This window comes from Homo sapiens, chromosome 8 (assembly GCF_000001405.40).
Source record: "Homo sapiens chromosome 8, GRCh38.p14 Primary Assembly".
NCBI classification, from domain to species: Eukaryota; Metazoa; Chordata; class Mammalia; order Primates; family Hominidae; genus Homo; species Homo sapiens.
The window spans coordinates 117,253,511-117,274,795 of record NC_000008.11 but is presented as its reverse complement, the minus strand read 5'-3'; the positions used below and the strand labels follow the sequence as shown (position 1 = coordinate 117,274,795).

The window sequence follows — 21,285 nt, the reverse complement described above, 5'->3', positions numbered from 1 at the left end:
AGCCTCTAATTCCCTGTATTAAATCCCTTTCTGCTTGAAATGTCTGGAATGATTTCTACTTTCCTGTCCAAACCCTGACTAACACATATGTCAAATTTTATGCTTTGTACCTTTCTTTCATCTCATCTTTCTTCTTGTAATGTTATGTCTGTTCCCTGATGTTTTAGATAACAGACTGCTTCCTTTTGTCATTACCATCACATTATCTTATTTTAATTTGGGATATTATTTACAATTCTATTTGTTTTCTTGTTTATTCAGTAGAATATAAGTGATCTTGTTCATCTGTGTATTCCCAGTGCTAGTACAGAGTTTGGTACTCAGCAGGCATCCAATAAATATTTGTGTAATAAATGAATTAAAACTTACCATCATGTAAGATTTTTTTCTCCATACCAAAGAATAACAGTGATTGAAATTTTAAGTTCCTCTGATGAATTTTCTGAGAAATCTATTAAGGATAAAAGGGTATTTTCAGTACTGTGAAAGGTACAAACTTGAATTGGAGTCCTGCCTTTGAGGAGCGAGTAAGGGAAATAAGAAATATGATGTATTAATATATATATATATCTATACTATAAAACAAAGTGGTACCGTTATGCACATATTAAAGCTATTAATGTTCAAAAAGAGTTATGCTACTTCCATTTGCAAAGATCAGTGAAGTTTTTCAGAAGGAGTTAATACTTGAATTGGGCCTTAAAGGATAATTAAGACTTAAGCTTACCGAATGTGTAGGAAGGGCATTCTAGAAATATAAGAAAGTGTTATCAATGGCTCAAAGTAAGGGTAAAACAAATTCAGTGTATAGGGAATTGGAAATAGTCTTGCTTGGTTGGAAATCAGGATGTGAAAAGCAAAGAAGCGAGAGATGGACTATATTCAGAAAATAAAAACATTGCACATAAATCCCCAAACAGAGGAATCCACTGGTTTTCACTCAAAAACTACTTACTCATATACACATGCAGATTTTAAAGTTATTTAACATGGGCGTTAAGTTTGCAGTTAGGAAGTAGCTCGTTTATGCTAACAGCCTGAGGCTCTAAGAATTCTGTTTATTACATTAGAAGCCACACCATGTTCTACATTCTAAATGCTCTGTTTCAGATTCTGTGTTGTGCATCTGCACTCACTCTCTGAATGTGAAGCAGGCTGATGCAAATGCATTTGTTCATAACGAGCTTTTAGTATCTCTCCTCCTCTCTGAAGATGAAATCAGTGTACATGCTGCTGCTTAAGTCATGTCAGTAATCTTCTGGGAGAAAGCAGAAGATGATTAAACCTACTCCAAATTTTCATAAGCCTGTTCAAAGGCATTCTCCTCTTGAACTTCTGTTTTACTCTAAAACAACCCAGCAATTGAATTTGAAACTGTCTCAGGGTAAAGTTAAAAGAAGATATAAATCTTCCTTGATGTTCTTTAACATCTAATAATAAAGTGATTGTTACTGTATTATAGCTTTATTAGTTTCCTAGACACTCTCTTACCACCAATAAGAATCCTTGAAAAGTGCATTTTCCTGTCTTGTCTTATTAAACAGATTGGCTTCGAAAGTTATATTACAGGGTTGCTCAGTTAATACAGTTTCCAAGCCAGCTATTACTGTTTGTTTAGTCAGGACAGGGTGATGTATTTCGTTTTCTGTAAGTTCTAATGTCACTGAATGAGAGTAATTATGTGCATATAAACACACTTCACAGAAAAAGATACACAGGTTATAAATCACTAAAAATCAAGTATTCACTTAAAAATGTTAAGTGCAATATCACTGGGAATGATAAAGCCTATAAAAGTACACAGGTTCTGCCCTTTCTCTAGTTCAGAAAACAGGGCAGCCAATTAGATATTCAAATTATGTATATTTTCTCCTTTAAAGATGCATATAGTCATATGTCCCTTTGGAGAAAGAAGAGAGGATCAAGACAAATTGGTTATTTGTGCATGTAATGCTGAGTTTCCTAAGTCCAGGGAAGAATTCCAGGGAGTCACCAATATCAAAGAACTGAAATTTCCTCCTTGAAAGCAATGCAATGTTATCTATGATCTCAAAATGACCTTTCAGAAACATTCCATTATCACCCTCCTTCTTATGGTTTTGTACAGATACACTATATCTTTGATCATCTCCACTGTTCAAAAATTCTGAGAATTTTTGATTCTCACAAGACCCCTGTAATATTAGACAAATTGAGCTCTGTGAAAGGGAATCTATTAAAGTCATTTATTACAGACAAGGACTGTTTCTAATAAGGTTTAAATCCTATCAGGAAGAAACCGACAAGAACCTCTGAAGTGGAGGTCACTGTTTGGGCCACTTTTAAAAAAATAATTTGAATTAGCTACTAGAAACTAATATTATACTCAACTGGCCCACTTATCTCATTAATGTCTGTCTGGTCCCTGCAGTGATTTCAGATTTCAATCCCTATAATAATACTTTCTCATTTTGTTATTGAAGAACTGGATTCTCAGAGAATTCAGATGTTCTATTTCAAGTCTCACAGCTGATAGACAGAAATGTATTGGGATGGGAAAAATTTAATATGCTTTATTTCATCATATTAATCCCCAAATTCAGGTATGTCTCTACCATTTGACTCATATAACTGTGAGTTTGAATGTCTTTAAATTAGTAATAGTGTTGGAGTTACGGGGAAAAAGTGACTGCTTTCCAGTAATTGTCATTTGACATTTCTTCCTCCCAAAGAAAAGTACAAAAGTTAACTCTTTTCTTTTCTAATTTACCACAATTCAAATTTAAAAACTGAACATTAGAGAAGTTAGTTAGACATATATGAAATACCTAGACCATGGGGAATACACAGAAGGAGATAAGTGAGCACAGGAAGAGATAAATAACACAGAGTAAATAACTTCTTAATTCAATTATTTTGGCATTTAGGGAAACTGGGACAAGACTTGGCTTAAAAAGGGAAAGCAACATTTTTAAAATTTCTACCAACTGCCAGGCAGCGTGCATTAGTTATCTTATTCACACAACAATCTCTCAAGAAAAGCATTTTCTCATCATTCTTACAGAAAAGGAATCTGAGATTTCTGAGAGGTTACAAAACACTCCAAGTACATCTAACCAGCAAGTGGCCAGGTGGGAATTGCACTGAGGTATGATTCCAAAGTGCGTTTTATTTCTAGGACACAATTTGTTTCTTTTCTTAGACACAAACGGTGTGCAATTTAAAAGTGTAAATATGTTTGTGAAAGAAATATTTTAAATGATAAAGAAACAGAGGATAAGTCAAATTTTAAAGTGCCCTCAAGAAAATTTGTTCTATATTATCATGCAGTTAATCTAATTTTAGGCAATTCTTTTCTATGCATGAAAGCAAATTTCCTTAGGACTTTCATTAGGCACAATTTCTTTAATCTGAGTCACTTCTGTGTTGGAAAGTAACAAAAGAGCATTTTTTGGTGTGAATATCCCCTAATTCAAGCTCTTCTGGAACAAGGAGTTGGCTTTATTCAAGTCTATACAAATTTATGACTTATCTTCTCCCTGAAATAGTGAAATATTGAAGTGATAATATCCATATATGTATATGTATACATATGTTTAGTATGTATATGCATATGATATAGATGTATATATATTACGTATATAAATTTCCCAAAGCATCTCCAAGTCACTCACAAAAACAAGTAAATGTGACCAATTTCTTTATAGACAATACGTTTCTCTTCCAGGACTGCTGAAAATCTTTTCTTTGAAAGCCCTTTGACTGAGAGCTAAATCTCTCCAGACAGGCTGAGGAGGATTAGAGTATATTCCTTTGGGTAGCAGCCTAGCAGGGTCAAAGGGAGATAAAGGGATTTTCAAACACGGTTCTGATGAAGAAGGCAGCCAGAATGAATGGCTGAGGGATGTGTAACACCCAACCTAGGATACTTTCAACCCCGATCAAACCCTAGAGGGGCTGTTTCTGCAGGGAGCTCTTTGCTTTCTCAGAGCCGGCTGAAATAAATTCTGTACCCTTTCAGAATAGATTTGAATAGCGAATTACCCTGCTTGAAGATGGAAAGAGTAGGGAAGCTTTTCTTTTCCCATGAGGCAGCATCCCTATTTATAAACGGTAATGAAATTGACACAGGTGAACTGATTATGCTAAGTACACGGGGTACACAGAATCTATGAACACCATTTCCTTTGCCTGCTCTTTGGGGGTTTATACAGAAAGTTGTGAGGCTGGGGCTGAGGAGCTCAAGTCCCAATCAGTGAATAATTTAACCTTTAATAAGTTGCTGATCTCTTTGTACCTCAGCCTAAAATATGAAGTAATAGCTTTCTTAGTAAATTGTTTTGAGATTTCTTGTTGAAAGGATAAATGTGTAGTAATTATGAAGCCTTTTAAGCAACATTCCAACAAGGGATTTCAATCTAAACCTCAATTAACATGAACTGTTTATTTTTATCAAGTTGGAAATGAACCATTTTGAAATAATGAGGACTGAAGCATATACTGAGTGGTATTTTTCAATAAATATTGAGATGGAATAATCTAAAACAGAATATTTTACAAGAGAAACAGTATTTCATTCATTGGGCTTCTACTATAGGCTAGACACTAGAGTTGAAAGTAAGTAAGACACCAATCCTGATCTTAGAAAGCTCACAGTCTAGGAAGAGTGACTGAACTTTCATATTGTTTTCCATAATGGCTATACTAATTTAAATTCCACAAGGGTTTCCTTGTACACTACATTCTCACCAACACTTGTTATCTTTTGTCTTATTGATAATAACCATTCTAACAGATGTAAGATGATCTGTCATTGTGGTTTTAATTTGCATTTCCCTTGTAATTAGTGACGTCAAGCATTTTTCCATATATGTGTTGGCCATTTGTATGTTTTTTTGATAAATGTCAAATTCAAGACCCTAGAAATATTTATTTAGTTCAGGCTTTTCATGATTTAGAGAAGGAACATGATAACTGAGAAATCAAGGGACTTAACAAAAATTATGGAAAATCGTAACTCCTAATTTCAGTCATTTAAACCAAGTCCACTAGTCAAACCTATGAAAGACGTGTGTGTATATATATATATAAAATATATTTATATGTAATATATATACAGTACGCAGTGAAATAGAATATCAATATGTTATAGATCACAAATGTATAACAAATATAATGTAGAATTATAATATGTAGGCTGGGCACAGTGGCTCACACCTGTTATCCCAGCACTTTGGGAGGCCAAGGCGGGTGGATCACCTGAGGTCAGGAGTTCAAGACCAGCCTGGCCAACATGGTGAAACCCTGTCTCAACTAAAAATACAAAAAAAATTAGCTGGGTGTGTGGCAGGCACCCGTAATCCCAGCTACTTTGTGAGGCTGAGGCAGGAGAATCACTTGAACCTAGGAGGCAGAGGTTGCAGTGAACCAAGATGGTGCCATTGCACTCCAGCCTAGGCAACAAGAGTGAAACTCTGTCAAAAAAAAAAAAAGAATTATAATATGTAAAATTGTTTGTATATCTATATCAATTATATATAACCTATATTTTATATTAAATAATATAATGTATCTTATATATTATATATAATAATGCTTTTATATGTCTAATATACATGCTATTGTAGATTATATATAAAGGTTAAGATAAATACATATGCAAAAATTATTCCTTGGCAACCCAGAGAAAAAATTCATTATATAATACTCTGGATTCCTTACTTTTTATCCATTGGTTTGGCCTAAGATAAGGTATAGCTTCTTATTTAAATCATATACTTTGTTCCAATCCCACCATAAATGACAGCTCTTCCAGATAACTTTGCTCAATAACCCTCAAATCACTCCTGGCTGTTAATAGCTGATATGGTTTGGCTCTGTGTTTTCACCCAAATCTCATCCTGAATTGTAATCCCCATGTGTGGAGGGACAGACCTTGTGAGAGGTGATTAGATCATGGAGGCAGTTTTCCCTTGCTGTTTTCATGATAGATTTCTTATTAGAGCTGATGGTTTAAAAGTGTGGCACTTCCCCCACCCTCTCTCTCCTGCCTCTTTGTGAAGAGGCTGCTTGCTTCACCTTCACATTCCACCATGATTGTAAGTTTCCTGAGGCCTCCCCAGCCATGCAGAACTGTGAGTCAATTAAACTTCTTTCTTTTATAAATTACCCAGTCTCAGGTAGTTCTTTATAGCAGTGTGAAAACAGACTAATACAGTAGATTGGTACCAAGGTAGTGGGGCATTGCTATGAAGATACCTGAGAATGTGAAAGCAACTTTGGAACCGGGTAACCAGCAGAGATTGGAACAGTTTGGAAGTCTCAGAAGAAGACAGGAAGATGAGGGAAAGTTTGGAACTTCCTAGAGACTTACTGAATGGCTTTGACAAACATGCTGATGGTGATATGGACAATTAAGTCCAGGCTGAGATGGTCTCAGGTGGAAATAAGGAACTTGTTGGGAATAGGAGTAAAGGTGACTCTTGCTATGGTTTAGCAAAGAGACTGGTGGCATTTTGCCCCTGCCCTAGAGATCTGTGGAACTTTGAACTTGAGAGAGATTATTTAGGGTATCTGGCAGAAGAAATGTCTAGGCAGCAAAGTATTCAAGATGTGACCTGACTTTTTCTAAAAGCTTACAGTCCTATGAGTTCACAAAGAGATTTCTGAAAAGGAAACTTACGTTTAAAAGGGAAGCAACACACAAAGGTTTGGAAAATTTGCAGACTGATCATGTGGTAAAAAAGAAAACCCCATTTTGTGGGGAGAAATTCAAGCAGTCTGCAGGAATGTGCGTAAGTAAAGAGAAGCTAAATGTTAATAGCCAAGACAATAGAGAAAATGTCTCCAAGGCATTTCAGTGATCTTCATGGCCCATCACAGGCCCAGAGGCCTAGGAGGAAAAAATTGTTTCATGGGCTGGGCCCAGGGTCCCACTTCTTTGTGCAGTCTCAGGACATGGTGTCCTGTGACCCAGCTGCTCCAGCTGTAGCTGTGGCTAAAAGGGGCCAAGGTACAGCTCGGGCCATGGCTTCAGAGGGTGCAAGCTCCAAGCCTTGGTGGCTTCCACATTGTACGGGTCATATGGGTGTGCAGAAGACAAGAGCTGAGCTTTGGGAGCCTCTGCCTAGCATTCAGAGAATGTATGAAAATGCCTGGATGTCCAGGCAGAAGTCTGCTTTAGGGGAGGAACCCTCATGGAGAACCACTACTACGGCAAGGTAGAGGGGAAATATGGGTTTGGAGTCCCCATACAGAGTCCCCATTGGGATACTGCCTAGTGAAGCTGTGAGAAGAGGTCCACTGTCCTCCAGACCACAGAATGGTAGATCCACTAACAGCTTGCACCCTGTACCTAGAAAAGCCTCAAGCACTCAACACCAGCCCATGAAAGCAGCTGCTGGAGCTGAACCCCGCAGATACACAGCGTCAGAGCTTCTGAAGGCCTTGGGAGCCAACCCCTTGCATCACCATGCCCTGGATGTGAGATCTGGAGTCAAGGAAGGTTATTTTGGAGCTTTAAGACTTACTGAGTGCCTTGCCAGCTTTCAGAGTTGAATGAGGCCTGTGGTCCCTTTGTTTTGGCCAATTCCTCCCAATTGGAGTGGAAACATTTACCCAATGCCTGTACCCTCACTCTATCTTGGAAGTAACTAACTTGCTTCTGATTTTACAGGCTTATAGGAAGAAAAGACTTGCCTTGACCCAGGTGAGACTTTGGACATGGACTTTTGGATTGAATGTGCAATGAGTTAAGACTTTGGGGGACTGTTGGGAAGCTACAATTGTGTCTTGAAATGTGAGAAAGACATGAGATTTGTGAGAGGCCAGGGGCGGAATAATATGATTTGGCTCTGTGTCCCCACCCAAATCTCACCTTGAATTGTAATCCCCATAATCCCTATGTGTGGAGGGAGGGACCTGGTGGGAGGTGATTGGATTGTGGAGGCAGTTTCCCCCTTGCTATTCTTGTGATAAAATTCTTACAAGATCTGATGGTTTAAAAGTGTGGCACTTCCACTCCCCCTTTCCTTCTGCCTTGTGAGGAAGGTACTTGCTTCCCCTTAATTGTAAGTATGTATACCTTCTGCCATAATTGTAAATTTCCTGAGGCCTCCCCAGCCATGCAGAACTGTGAGTCAATTAAGCCTCTTTTCTTTATAAATTACTCAGTCTCAGAAAATTATTTATAGTAGTGTGAAAACAGATAATACAATAGCTTTCTTTTATCGTGCACCACCAGATAGTGAACTCCTAAAGGGCCTCTTATTTGAGAAGCAGACCCTCTGGTCATTGAGAACAGGACCTTAGAATCAGGCCATCACAAGCCAAGGCCCACTCTGCCATTTTCTAGTTATGGGATTAGAGTAATTGCTCTAATGTCTCTAAACTTGCTTATTTCCTCATGTAGAAAATGATGATAATAATTGTACCCATTGCATTGTCTTTTCGGGATTCAAGTGTATATAGGCACATGACACTCAGTAAGTGTAGGTCTTTAGCTCTTTTTTTGTGGGTATTCAACATTGAGTGCTCAATAAATGTGTGTTACGCCAAATCAAATCTTAGGTTTTCCTTCAAATTCTTTTATATTTCTTTTTCTTGTATTTTAGCTTGATTACTTAATTTTGTAACCCAGATACTGACACAGTGGTCATTGAAGGCTATTTTAAATTATTTATATTCACCTTTGGGTCCTCCAAGAAAACAAACAGCCAGCTACATCAAATTTTGCCCAACAGCATTCTCTCTTTGTCAACACAGAGCAAAAAAGGCAGCTATGGGAGTTTGTAAAAGCATTTTTTTTCTGGTGACTCATCAGCAAAGGAGAGAGAAGCAAACCTCAAACAGAAAAGTGAACAATCAAAATAAGTAAGAAACAAAATGTTGAGTTTCTGAGTGTTCCTTGGGGTAAAAAGACATCAAGTGAAGGAATGATGATGCCCTTGTCTGCAAGAATCAACCAAAATAGAAACTTTTCATGGAAATTTCCAGATAGTAACTGAAGAAAATGGTTATGAGAGGTTTTCACACAAATTAACTACCCAGCTGCCCCAACTCCTCTCTTGAATTTGCAATAGAGGCTTGCTTCCTTATCATCAGTTATTTTTCACCTCTCTGGATTATTATAAGGTTAACTTATTCAATTCACCTTTAAATACATTACAACTCTACCCCACCATCTCAGTGTCTTCATCTGAAAGGGTTACTGCATGATCAAATGAGCATGACTCACTAGCTATGCAAGGCATCCCAAATTCACCTCGCTACCCCATCACCTCTGACCTGAATTGCAAGAGCATCCTGTCTCTTTCTACTCTTGCCTTCTGTAGTTGATTTTCCACTCCATGGCCAGTGTAATATTTAAAATACATAGCTAAATGGTAAAGACAGTAAATTTCATGTGCATATTTTATCTCAATTTTTTAAAAGTGTGAAATAAAATAAAATGTACAAGTAGGCTTTCCATTATCTTTAGAATAAAATGCAAACTCCTTACCATGGTCTCCAAGGCCCAACACGTTTAAGTTTCTGATTTTCTGTTTGACCTCATCTTCTATTATTTTTTTCCTGACTTGTTTCAAGTCGTTTCTCAAATGCACCAAATTGGAACCAAGTAAGAGCTTTTGGTCTCCTTGTCCTCTCTGCTTGGAAGAATCTCTTTCCAGATTTTTGCATGACTCATGCGTTTGATAATTCAGGTGGCTGTTCAGAGAGGCTTTTCCTAAATGCCCTCATTAAATGCCCTTACCTAAAACTTATTTTGCCTTACTTGAATTTATTTTCTCATTATCACTTATGTTCTGGAATTAATGAGCTACATGTTGATATTTTCTGTGTCTCTGCACTTGCACATAAGCTTTGTGAAACTTTATCACCACAGCCTAAAGCAATGCATGGCATATGGTAGGTGCTCAATAGATAGTTTTTGAATGAATGAGGAATATAAAAAATATTTGTAAAGCTCTTAGTAGAGTGTTGGTCACATGTACACATGCAGAGAATTCATTATTGAAAAGTTATGCAATTTGAAATGTAATGTGAGATCAGAAAAAAATGTGTAATGAAATACTACTAGGGTAGGATGACCTCTGCTATCAGGCTAGGAAAAGTATCAAGATGCCAATAGGTAGAGAAGAGAGTCCATTGAAGATTTCTCCATTTATATTCATTCCTATATGAACTGATTCCACCGAGGTTATACAAAATTCTACCAGACATATGCCTTTATATTCGTAGATGTTGACCAGCCCTGGTGCATGTATTAAATTTAGTAACACAGTCTGCTTATGTACATCTAGGATGCAGCATGCAATTGAGTATAGCTTCTGCCCTGGAATTGACTGCAATGCTGCTATTAGGAAACCAGGTACTCAGACTGTCTTCAAGGCCAAAGAAAGTTTATTCCAGGCACCCAGACCTTCTTGTTTTATGTAGACACTTCAGAGATTTAACATTGAAGGCATTCTGGGACAATGCTCAAAGCCTCAGAAAATAGATTTCTATTGTCCAAGAAGAAATAGTACATTTTTTCCAGTTGTGAGCTTGTGAACTGTACTTCCTGTATTGCCATCATATTTTCAAGCTTGTGATCCCTGATATGCAGACAGAAGCTATTATTTTAATTTGCATTTCTGGAAGACAATGCTGACCTAGGTTTCCTTGTAGCCCATAGTCTGTGTGAAGAAGTGATTTTGGTGGCTGCTCCCTTAGCCCCTGTATATAATTAGTTATATCTCAGACTGAGACAGAGACAAAGAAAAGGCAGGAAAAAAAATTGGCCTGGCTTTCTGCTACCTCCAGAAACCAAATGTATTTGTTTCTTTGAAAAAAGTGTCTCCCAAGTCCTTGGCAGAGTGCTCAAAGTAGCTTTATGTAAGTGCTGAAAGTTGTCTTTAGTCCAAGGCCCAAGGACTGCAGTTCAGTGCTTGCAAGATCAAACACAGGTGCAGCAGAGATGCTGTGCAGTTCAGCAAGTCACCCTGGGGATAGAGCCAGGTGGAAGACTGTGGGGGAAAAGCTTTTCATATTTTAAAAGATATTAAAGTACCACTGCCTGGAGATGTGAAGTATTTAAGAGAACTCCTGAAAAGTTCCTTTTCACTATACCAAATGGTAGGAATAACATTCAAAACAAGCACCATTCTTTTTCATGCTGCTGATAAAGACATACCCAAGACTGGGCAATTTACAAAAGAAAGATTGTTAATTAGACTTACAGTTCCATGTGTCTGGGGAAGCCTCACAATCATGGCAGAAGGCAAGGAGGAGCAAGTCACATCTTACATGGATGGCAGCAGGCAAAGAGAGAATGAGGAAGGTGCAAAAGCGGAAACCCCTGATAAAACCATCAGATCTCATGAGGCTTATTCACCACCATGAGAACAATATGGGGGAAACCACCCCTATGATTCAATTATCTCCTACCAGTTCCCTCCCACAACACATGGGAATTATTGGAGTACAATTCAAGATGAGATTTGGGTGAGGACACAGCCAAGCCATATCACATTCCTTCAGAGAAGTTCTGTTTTTACCTCCATCACCTCCCCTAACTCTAAGGTAAAAATAAACCCAACTAAAAATTGAGATCCCACAACTTCATAAGGAGAGCTAGAAATTTTACTCCAGCCACATAATTGTTTTGGGTTTATGTTCTTTCATTCACCAAGTATTTATTAAGTGCCTGCTATGTGCCTGAATGTAGTGGGAAGCAAAACTTGAATTTCTCTCAGAGTTTACTACAGTCTTGTTTCAAAATAGAGTGCATGCCTTTGCTTTCTTATACTGGTTGTGGAGAATGATTTGAAGAGCTATACCAGGAATCCTCTCTTGGCATGTGAAATCTAGGCATTATGGAGCCTTGAGGAATGGCATTGTATTTCTGTTTCTCCCTGCTTCTACGATCACTTCTCTGGACCAGCCCCTTCCTAGGCTCTCACAGATGTTAAATCCAATGACCCACTTCAGGAACGTTTCCTCCTTGCTCCAGTCCACTTCCACAGCCCCAGACGTACTTCACAATATGGCAAAAAGAACATGGGTTTTGGCATTAGACAGAGCCAGTTTCCAATCTTAGCAGGTCTTCAGAGGCCACCACTTACGTGCTGTGTGACTTTAAATAATTTGGATTTGAGTCAATGCTCCTCTGCCTCCAGTGTATGAATTCTGGGTGCATGTGAATCTTATTCTCATCTGTATACTGAAATTACTTTTTCAAAGAAACATTTATTGAGTCCTAACTCTATGCAGGCCTTGAAAATATAAAGCTAAGTAAGACAAATTTGGCCTTGAGAGAGCCGGATGAAGTTCTAAGTGCCGATGTCATGACAGTCCTGTCCCGTGTGGTTAGTGGAATCAACACTGATAGGAAGTTACAATTTATAGTGTGATGTGCAGGAAAGAATCACTAATTCTTCCATTAGTTGAGATGGTAAGAGAGGCTGAGGTTGGGGAGAGGTGAGCACAGAATTGATTGTGTAGGAGTTTATTAGGTGGACAAAGTATAGAAGGACATTCAAGGCAGAAAGAACAACATGCTCCAAGATGTTGAAGGTTGAGCAGCCTAACATATTTGAAAAACAGCAAATATTTGAGATTGGATATAGTGTTTGCCTTCATTTCCTATGTTTCTCGGGATTTCACTCAGCCGCTGTGTTTATAATCACACACCTACAGGTTTGTTGTTGTTAATTTACTTATTTATTCAATAAATGTTTTTGAGTATCAGCTGTGGGTTAGGCAACATAGCAAATCTGATCCTATTGGTATAGTGAAATCTCATAATTGTAGTCATAAGAGGTGAATGAATAATAGTAGTTAAATATAGTTAAATAACTATTCCAAAGTTTTAAATAATGTTTCTGCTATGCAATTTTATTGTAGAGGTCACGATCATTCTAGCAAATTATAATGCACAATCATGCTAACACAATAAGCATATTTTGAAACAGATCTGTTCCTGTTTATGCATTGATCAAAGAGTGAACTTAACAGGGACCTTCTCTAGAGGATTTTACAAGAGATCAACAGATTACCAAGTATTAATTATCAAGCATTTTTATAAAAGATAGAATGCTCAAGAATAACAAAAATATCTTACTCTTACAAAGTCCCTTCCAAAGTGATTATTTCTAATCAGATCGTGGCATTTTTTCAAACAAGACACATCAAGGCCCTACACCAAATATGTCTGCTTTCCAGTCTCCCAACATGATGAGGAATCCCAGAAAACAGGGACATAAGAGATTGTTCTTAGCTTTTGCTTAACGGAAATAAACGGCTAAGGTGTAACCCTCTATTGTGTGCAGCTTTGAGACATTAAAGACTCCTCTGGTTGTGTCAGCCTGACACTGTGGAAGGGACAGCTAATGATAAGTTGTGTGTACTCTAGAGACATAGAAATGGCTGTCACCATGGCAATGGTTATCATGGTCAGACTTTGTTCTTATTTACAATGGTGAGCCACCCTTCCCATGGCTCCTCCTTTCTGTGCTGCCCACTTTAACCCCATATGCAAGATATATACACAGTTCCTGAGGCAAATATCAGCAGAACCAGATCGCTAGCTGGCTGTTTATGCCTTGAGAGAATCTGTATAAACAGCTCCTCTAGAGATGTATGTTTCTTTGTAGCCAGCTAATAATTTAGAGTAGAAGATCCCTGCCTTTTAGATCCCAAGGACTACAAGGGAAGTGAGTTGACCTGAGGAGTTATTTAACAAACATTGAGTAGAACTAGGATGTAGTCATGGGCCTCAGCTATGGCCCAGGGCCCAATGACCAATTCTGTCTCTGTAAGCTAAGTAGCCCCTGCTCACCTGTCTTGTACTCAATGTCATATGATAAGTTATAAGAAAGGGAGGCTGAAAAACAAGGCCCAGGTGACCCCACAAGACCAGCCACTCTGTTTAGCACATGAAGCCTTGGTACAGTCATTAAGGGCAATCCAAATATACTCATTTTCCACTTAATTTATTCATTTAATTATTCATCTTTTATTTCTCTTCAGTTACTGTATGTTAAGCAGTGTGTGAATTCCTGAGGATGCAATGATGACTTCTCTACGTTCAGACTTTAGTATGAAAGGAAGGTATATAAACAGGTCATCTGTAATACAAGAAGAATCAGTGCTATAATTTATTTCAACAAACATAAAATTGACATTTACTATGTGCCAAACATTATGCTAGACAACTGGATAAGCTCAGAGTTTAGTAGAAAATGTATTATAAAAGAAAGACATGTTATTATAGTAGAACATTAGAGATACACCAACAAAAGTATATGAAGTGTAAAATAGTCTCCATGAGTAAGTAGTATCTTTATTTAGAGATAATCAGAGAAAACCTGCGGAGAAGGCGACATTGCAGTCAATTTTAAGAGATGCTTAGAGATTCGCGACATGAACTGCTGGGAGAAGGCTGTTTCAGCATATGAAAGACACAGATTCAAGAAATGGTTGCATTTTTTGACTCCTCCAGTAAAAGTGGTGGGAAACAGCAGTACAAAATATCTAGGATGTTCTTCCTGTAGATGCAGGAGAAAAAGAGGGCCAAAAGATGGAGAGAGATAAAATTGTAATTGTATTTTAAAACAGTCTCTATAGTGGAAGGTTGGAAATTGAACTGCAGAGAATGTCCCTTCTCCTTGGCCACAGAAATCCTTCCAAAGGCCAAAAGTGAGCACTTAATACAATTGAAAACAATATGAATCCTTTCTAGGATGATTTTTTTCTGAAACCAAGGAAGACATCCCTTTCTTCTTGTGTTGTTAAGTTAGGTTGACATAGCTGGTTCTACAATGTCTTCTGCTATATGGAGCAAGCCTGTCTACTGTAAAACTGAGTAAAACAGTAATACTAGAGCATGGTAGGGGTGTCAGAAAGAGAGAGAGTGAGGAGAAGAAACACACAGAGAGAGAGATAACTGAAGTAGTTCTTGTTGTTCTAGTATCTGGATCCTGTTGAGTGTGAAGCCAGCCCCATCTCCGTCCATGATGTCCTTCCTGTTTAAATCATTTGAGTTGTGTCTGTCACTTGCAGCTAAGGGCTTTGACTCACACAGAAAGGCTGGGCTCAACTGATAAGTAGAAATCTAGCAGCCAGCTAAGAATATAAAAGCATTCTAGGCAGAGGGGCCAGCATTTCTAAAAGACCAGTACATGTGACTTTATATGGTGAGATCTCAGTGCTGTGAATGGGAGAGGAAGAGGCAGGTGCTAAGGTTGGAGAATTGAGCAGGGACCAGGACATCAGTGACTTTGTGGATCATACCAAGATCTGGGACTTAACCCTATAGTTCAACATTTAGCAAACTGCTTTGGCAAAAGACTCATTTTTCTTTTTAACTTTCATTCTTTCACAGGCCAATCTTTTTGTAAAACACATTAAAATGAATAATTAAAAAAATAATGACATAGTACCCAAATCTTTAATTATGAGATTAAACTACATAAAACCACTCTTCCAAGTAACTATACTTATTCTTCATTTCTGTACTTATCTTGTTGCTGAATGAAAATGAACAATTGCAGTCCAACGCCAGCCCATAGACCACACTTTAGGTGACACTGATGGAGATGACATAGAGCCATCGAAATGCTTTCAGTGAAACATTCCAATGTTTCCTTTAAATTTTAGCTTCTTACAATGAATATACCTGAAGCATACAGATTAACAAATATGTCTTTAATGATGTATCACAAGCTCTGCTCTGAATTCTATCCTGTCTAAAATTTTCTCAGGGTCTTAAATGAGCACACAGAAGGCATGCTGATAAAAAGTTGATGACATAAGTTGTTAGGTCTAACTAAAATTTGGAATGACAGCATTAGGATTTTATCTTTTTAACTGTTAGTGCAGCCCTAGAATGTAATGAGGTGGCTTGTGAGATGCCAACTTTCTTCTTGACACTGGCAGTTGAAATAGAGACTCAGAGGAGCAGAGAGAGAGAGTGAGTGTGGGAGTGGGGGCGGGCATGTACGCACGTGCACAGGCACATTTGCTAGAGGTGAAAAATGGAGTACCCACTGGGGGTCTTTTCTCAGTTCTTTTCATGAGTCTGACTGGTAAGCCACTTAGTCAAGAACAAGGGGAGAAAAAGAAGGATGCCCTGCCCTGCAATTGTCCCGGGTACATTACCTAGGTATCTGTAATTATTATCTCAGGACTGGAAAGCACAGGCAGTGGTCTGTGCCTCCATTACCTCGTTATGTGAAATAGACCCTTCACTATTTCAGAACCAGTGCTTCATAATGACCTTTCTGCAGTGCATTTCCACTAAAATTACAGTTTATTTTGTGGTATATATTCTATGTTAAAAAGTACATCCTGAAGGGCAAATAAATACCCATAAGCCCCAGAGGTTGAATAGAAAATCTTCTTGGAGTGAATTTTAAAAAGATATATTCAAAACTCCACACACAAAAGGAAGGACTCTCCACATGGGGTTATCAAATACCATCTCTCTTATACAGAACAAATCATTAAAAGAAAATGATCTCTCTGCCTGTCTCCTCCTACTCCTGAAGTCTGACTGATTTCCTCAGCCACAAGCTGTCAGATATATTTTTGGAGTCATCTTTGAGGATGATCTTGATTGAGTTAATCAATCAATTTCCCACAGTGCTGATATTTCAACTTCCCACTAAAGGCTTTAGCAGGAAGGCACATAATTAAACTCCCTGCACACTAATAAACTACACTATTGCACTAGTGCAATACAATCTATTTCTCAAAAATTGTCTGTTAGTTGAATGTCTGGAAAGATTTTCAGATCATTTTTGGCAAAGGTTCAAAATATTATCATCATCATCATCATCACAATCTACTTTGATTGTTTACTGAGAGTCAGACAATATGCTAAATATCTGAATGTGTTAGCTATATTATCTGATTTAATTCTAACAGAAACTCAGTTAAGAATTTTTTTCTCATCAACTCATTTCTAGAGATATGAAAACTCATACGTAGATTAGGTAACTTGCTCAACATGAAAAACTTAAAATCTAAATAGAAACTCATTGTAAATTATAAAACTTCCAAACCATTGTGAAGGAAGAATAAATGAATAAAGAGAACATTCTAATAGAAGATAGAAAACAAGGAGAAAAAAGTGTAGAAACAGTTTAACATGTGATAAGAGAATGCATCCACATTGATCAGTAACAAGTATAAATATATGTAGAGAACTAGTATCCTTTTTATGAAAACATCAATATAATCCCAAAGTATTGAAATATACTTAAGATAATGGCCTCTAGTTCCATCCATGTTGCTGCAAATGAGATGATTTCATTCTTTCTTGTGCCTGTGTAGTATTTCATGGTGCATATGTGCTGCATTTTCTTGATCTAATCCACCATTGATGGGCACCTAGGTTGATTCCATATCTTTGCTGTTATGAATAGTGCTGCAATGAACATACAACTGCATGTGTCTTTTTGGTAGAATAGTTTCTTTATTATTGTTATTTTGTAATTGTACTTTAAGTTCTGGGATACATGTGCAAAACATGCAGGTTTGTTACATAAGTATACATGTGCCATGGTGGTTTGCTGCACCCATCAACCCATCATCTACATTAGGTATTTCTCCTCATGCTATCCCTCCCCTAGCCCCCCACACCGCAACAGGCCCCAATGTGTGATGTTCCCCTTTCTCTGTCCGTGTCTTCTCATTGTTCAACTCCCACTTATGAGCGAGAACATGCAGTGTTTGGTTTTCTGTTCCTGTGTTAGTTTGCTGAGAATGACGGTTTCCACCTTCATCCATGTCCCTGCAAAGGACATGAACTCATCCTTTTTTATGGCTGCATAGTATTCCATGGTGTATATGTGCCACATTTTCTTTATCCAGTCTATCATTGATGAGCATTTGGGTTGGTTCCAAGTCTTTGCTATTGTGAATAGTGCTGCAATAAACATACATATGCACGTGTCTTTATAGTAGAATGATTTATAATCCTTTGGGTATATACCCAGCAATGGGATTGCTGAGTCAAATGGTATTTCCAGTTCTAGATCCTTGAGGAATAGCCGCACTGTCTTCCACAATGGTTGAACTAATTTACACTCCCACCAACAGTGTAAAAGCGTTCCTATTTCTCCACATCCTCTCCAGCATCTATTGTTTCCTGACTTTTTAATGATCACCATTCTAATTGGCATGAGATGGTATCTCACTGTGGTATTGATTTGCATTTCTCTAATGACCAGTGATGAGCTTTTTTTCGTTTGTTGGCCGCATAAATGTCTTCTTTTGAGAAGCGTCTATTCATAACCTTTGCCCACTTTTTGATGGGGTTGTTTGTTTTTTTCTCGTAAACTTGTTTAAGTTCCTTGTAGATTCTGGATATTAGCCCTTCGTCAGATGGATAGATTGCAAAAATTTTCTCCTGTTCTCTAGGTTTCCTGTTCACTCTGATGATAGTTTCTTTTGCTGTGCAGATGCTCTTTAGTTTAATTAGCAAAAAGAACAAAGCTGGAGGCATCATGCTACCTGACTTCAAACTATACTACAAGGCTACAGTAACCAAAACAGCACAGTACTGGTACCAAAACAGATATATAGGCCCATGGAATGGAACAGAGGCCGCAGAAATAATGCCACACATCTACAACCATCTGATCTTTGACAAACCTGACAAAAACAAGCAATGGGGGAAGGATTCCCTATTTAATAAATGGTGTTGGGAAAACTGGCTAGCCATATGCAGAAAACTGAAACTGGACCCCTTCCTTACACCTTATACAAAAATTAACTCAAGATGGATTAAAGGCTTAAACGTAAGACCTAAAACCATAAAAACCCTGGAAGAAAACCTAGGCAATACCATTCAGGACTTAGGCATGGGCAAGGACTTCATGACTAAAATACCAAAAGCAATGTCAACACAAGCTAAAATTGACAAATGAGATCTAATAGTTTTTTTTCTTTTGGATATATACCCAGTAATAGGGTTGTTGAATTAAATGATGCTTCTGTTTTGAATTCTTTGAGAAATTTATAAACTGCTTTCCACAGTGGCTGAACTAATTGACATCCCCACTGATGGTGTATACGCCCTCCCTTTTCTGCACAGCCTTGCCAGCATCTATTGTTTTTTGACTCTTTAATAATGCCATTTTGACAGGTGTGAGATGTTATCGAGTTGTGATTTTGCATTTCTGTGATGAGTAATGATGTGATGCATTTGTCATATGTTTCTTGGCCACTTGCATGTCTTCTTTTCAGAAGTGTCTGTTCATGTCCTTTGCCCATTTTTTAATGGGGTTATTTGGTTTTTGCTTGTTGCTTTAAGTTCCTTATAGATTCTGGATATTAGAGCTCATTGGGTGCATAGTTTGTGAATATTTTCTCCCATTCTGTAGGTCATCTGTGTACTCTGTTGATAGTTTCTTTTGCTGTGCAGAAGCTCTTTTGTTTGACTAGGTCCACTTGTCAATTTTTGGTTTTGTTGCAATTATTTTTGAGGAATTAGTCATAAATTCTTTCCCAAGGCTCTTGGTGTTTCCTAGTTAGTCTTCTAGGATTCTTAGAGTTTGAGGTCTTACAAATAAAGCTTTAATCCATCTTGAGTTAACTTTTACATATGGTAAAATGTAGGGGTCCAATTTCATTCTTCTGCATATGGCTCACCAACTATTCCAGCACAATTTATTGAATAGGGAAACCTTTCCCCATTGCCTATTTTTGTCAACTTTGTTAAAGATAGATGGCTGTAGGTGTGAAGTTTTATTTCTGGGTTATCTGTTCTGTTCCATTGGTCTATGTGTCTGTTTTTGTACCCAGTACCATGATGGTTGGTTACTGTAGCCTTATAGTATAGTTTGAAGTCAGATAATGCCATGACTCCAGGTTTGTTCTTTTTGCTTAGGATTTCTTTGACTATTTGGGCTCCTTTTGGTGCCATAAGAATTTTAGAATAGATTTGTTTTAGTTCTGTGAAAAATGATGTTGGTAGTTTGATAGGAATAGCATTGAATTTGTAGATTTATTTAGACAGTATGGTCATTTTAACAATATTAATTTTTCCAACCCATGAGCATGGAATGTTTTTTCATTTGTTTGTGTCATTTATGATTTATTTTATCAGTGTTTTGTAGTTCTCCTTGTAGAGATCTTTTACCTCCGTCATTAGATGTATTCCTAGGTACTTTTTGTGGCTATTTTAAATGAGATTTCTTTCTTGATTTGACTCTCAGCTTGAACATTATTGATATATAGAAATGCCACTGGTTTTTGTACATTGATTTTGTATTCTAAAACTTTACTGAAGTCATTTATAAGTTCCAGGAGCCTTTTGGTGGAGTCTTCAGGGTTTTTAGCTGTAAAATCATATTGTCTGTGAAGAGAAATAGTTTGACTTATTCTTTTTCTGTTTGGATGCCTTTTATTTCTTTGTCTTGCCTGATTGCTCTGGCTAGCATGTCTAATACTATGTTGAATAGGAGTGGTGAGAGTGGACATCGTTGTCTTGTTCCAGTTCTCAAGGGGAATGCTTCCAGTTTTTGTCAATTGAGTATGATGTTAACTATGGGTTTGTCCTAGATGTCTCTTATTATTTTGAGGTATGTTCTTTTGATCCTAGTTTCTTGGGGGTTTTTATCATGAATAGATGGCAGATTTTATTGAAAGCTTTTTCTGCATCTTTGGAAATGATCCTATGATTTTTGTTTTCAATTCTGTTTATATGATGAATCACATTTATTGATTAGCATACGTTGAGCTAACCTTGCTTCTTAGGAATGAAGCCTACTTGATCATAGTGATTTAACTTTTTGATGTGCTGTTGAATTCAGTTGGGAAGTATTTTGTTGAGGATTTTTGCTTCCATGTTCATCAGTGATATTGGCCTGTAGTTTTCTTTATTCATTATGTATTTGCAAGGTTTTGCTATCAGGGTAATGCTGGCTTCATAGAATGGTTAGGGGAGGAGTCGCTCCTCCTCAATTTTTGGAATAGTTTCAGTAGAATTGGTACCAGCCCTTCTATGTACATCTGGTAGAATTTGGCTGTGAATCCATGTGGTCTAGGGCTTTTATTCATTGATATGTTTTTTATTGCTGATTCAATTTCAGAACTCAATATTGGTCTTTTCAGTGTTTCAATTTATTCCTGATTCAGTCCTGGAATATGGTGTGTTTCCAGGAATTTATCCATTTCCTCTTGATTTTTAGTTTGTTTGCTTAGAGGTGTTCCTAACTGTCTCTGAGGAACTTTTGTATTTCTGTGGGATCGATTATAAATGCCACCTTTGTGGTTTCTGATTGTGCTTATTTGGATCTTCTCTCTTTTTCTTTGCTA

General features: G+C 37.5%; 2 long non-coding RNA genes across 6 annotated transcripts in view; one reads left to right on the top strand and one right to left on the bottom strand.

Moving 5' to 3' along the window:
- The window catches only part of LOC105375717 (uncharacterized), a 37,330-nt gene extending 36,288 nt beyond the window's left edge, over positions 1 to 1,042 (bottom strand). Inside the window, exons 1-2 of the long non-coding RNA XR_928573.3 lie at positions 956 to 1,042; positions 370 to 451 (exon numbers count right to left, since the gene is read on the bottom strand). This is a non-coding gene — a long non-coding RNA (uncharacterized LOC105375717). The remainder of the gene's footprint in view (positions 1 to 369; positions 452 to 955) is intronic.
- The window catches only part of LOC105375716 (uncharacterized), a 436,284-nt gene that overhangs the window by 245,925 nt on the left and 169,074 nt on the right, over positions 1 to 21,285 (top strand). The window lies entirely within an intron of this gene.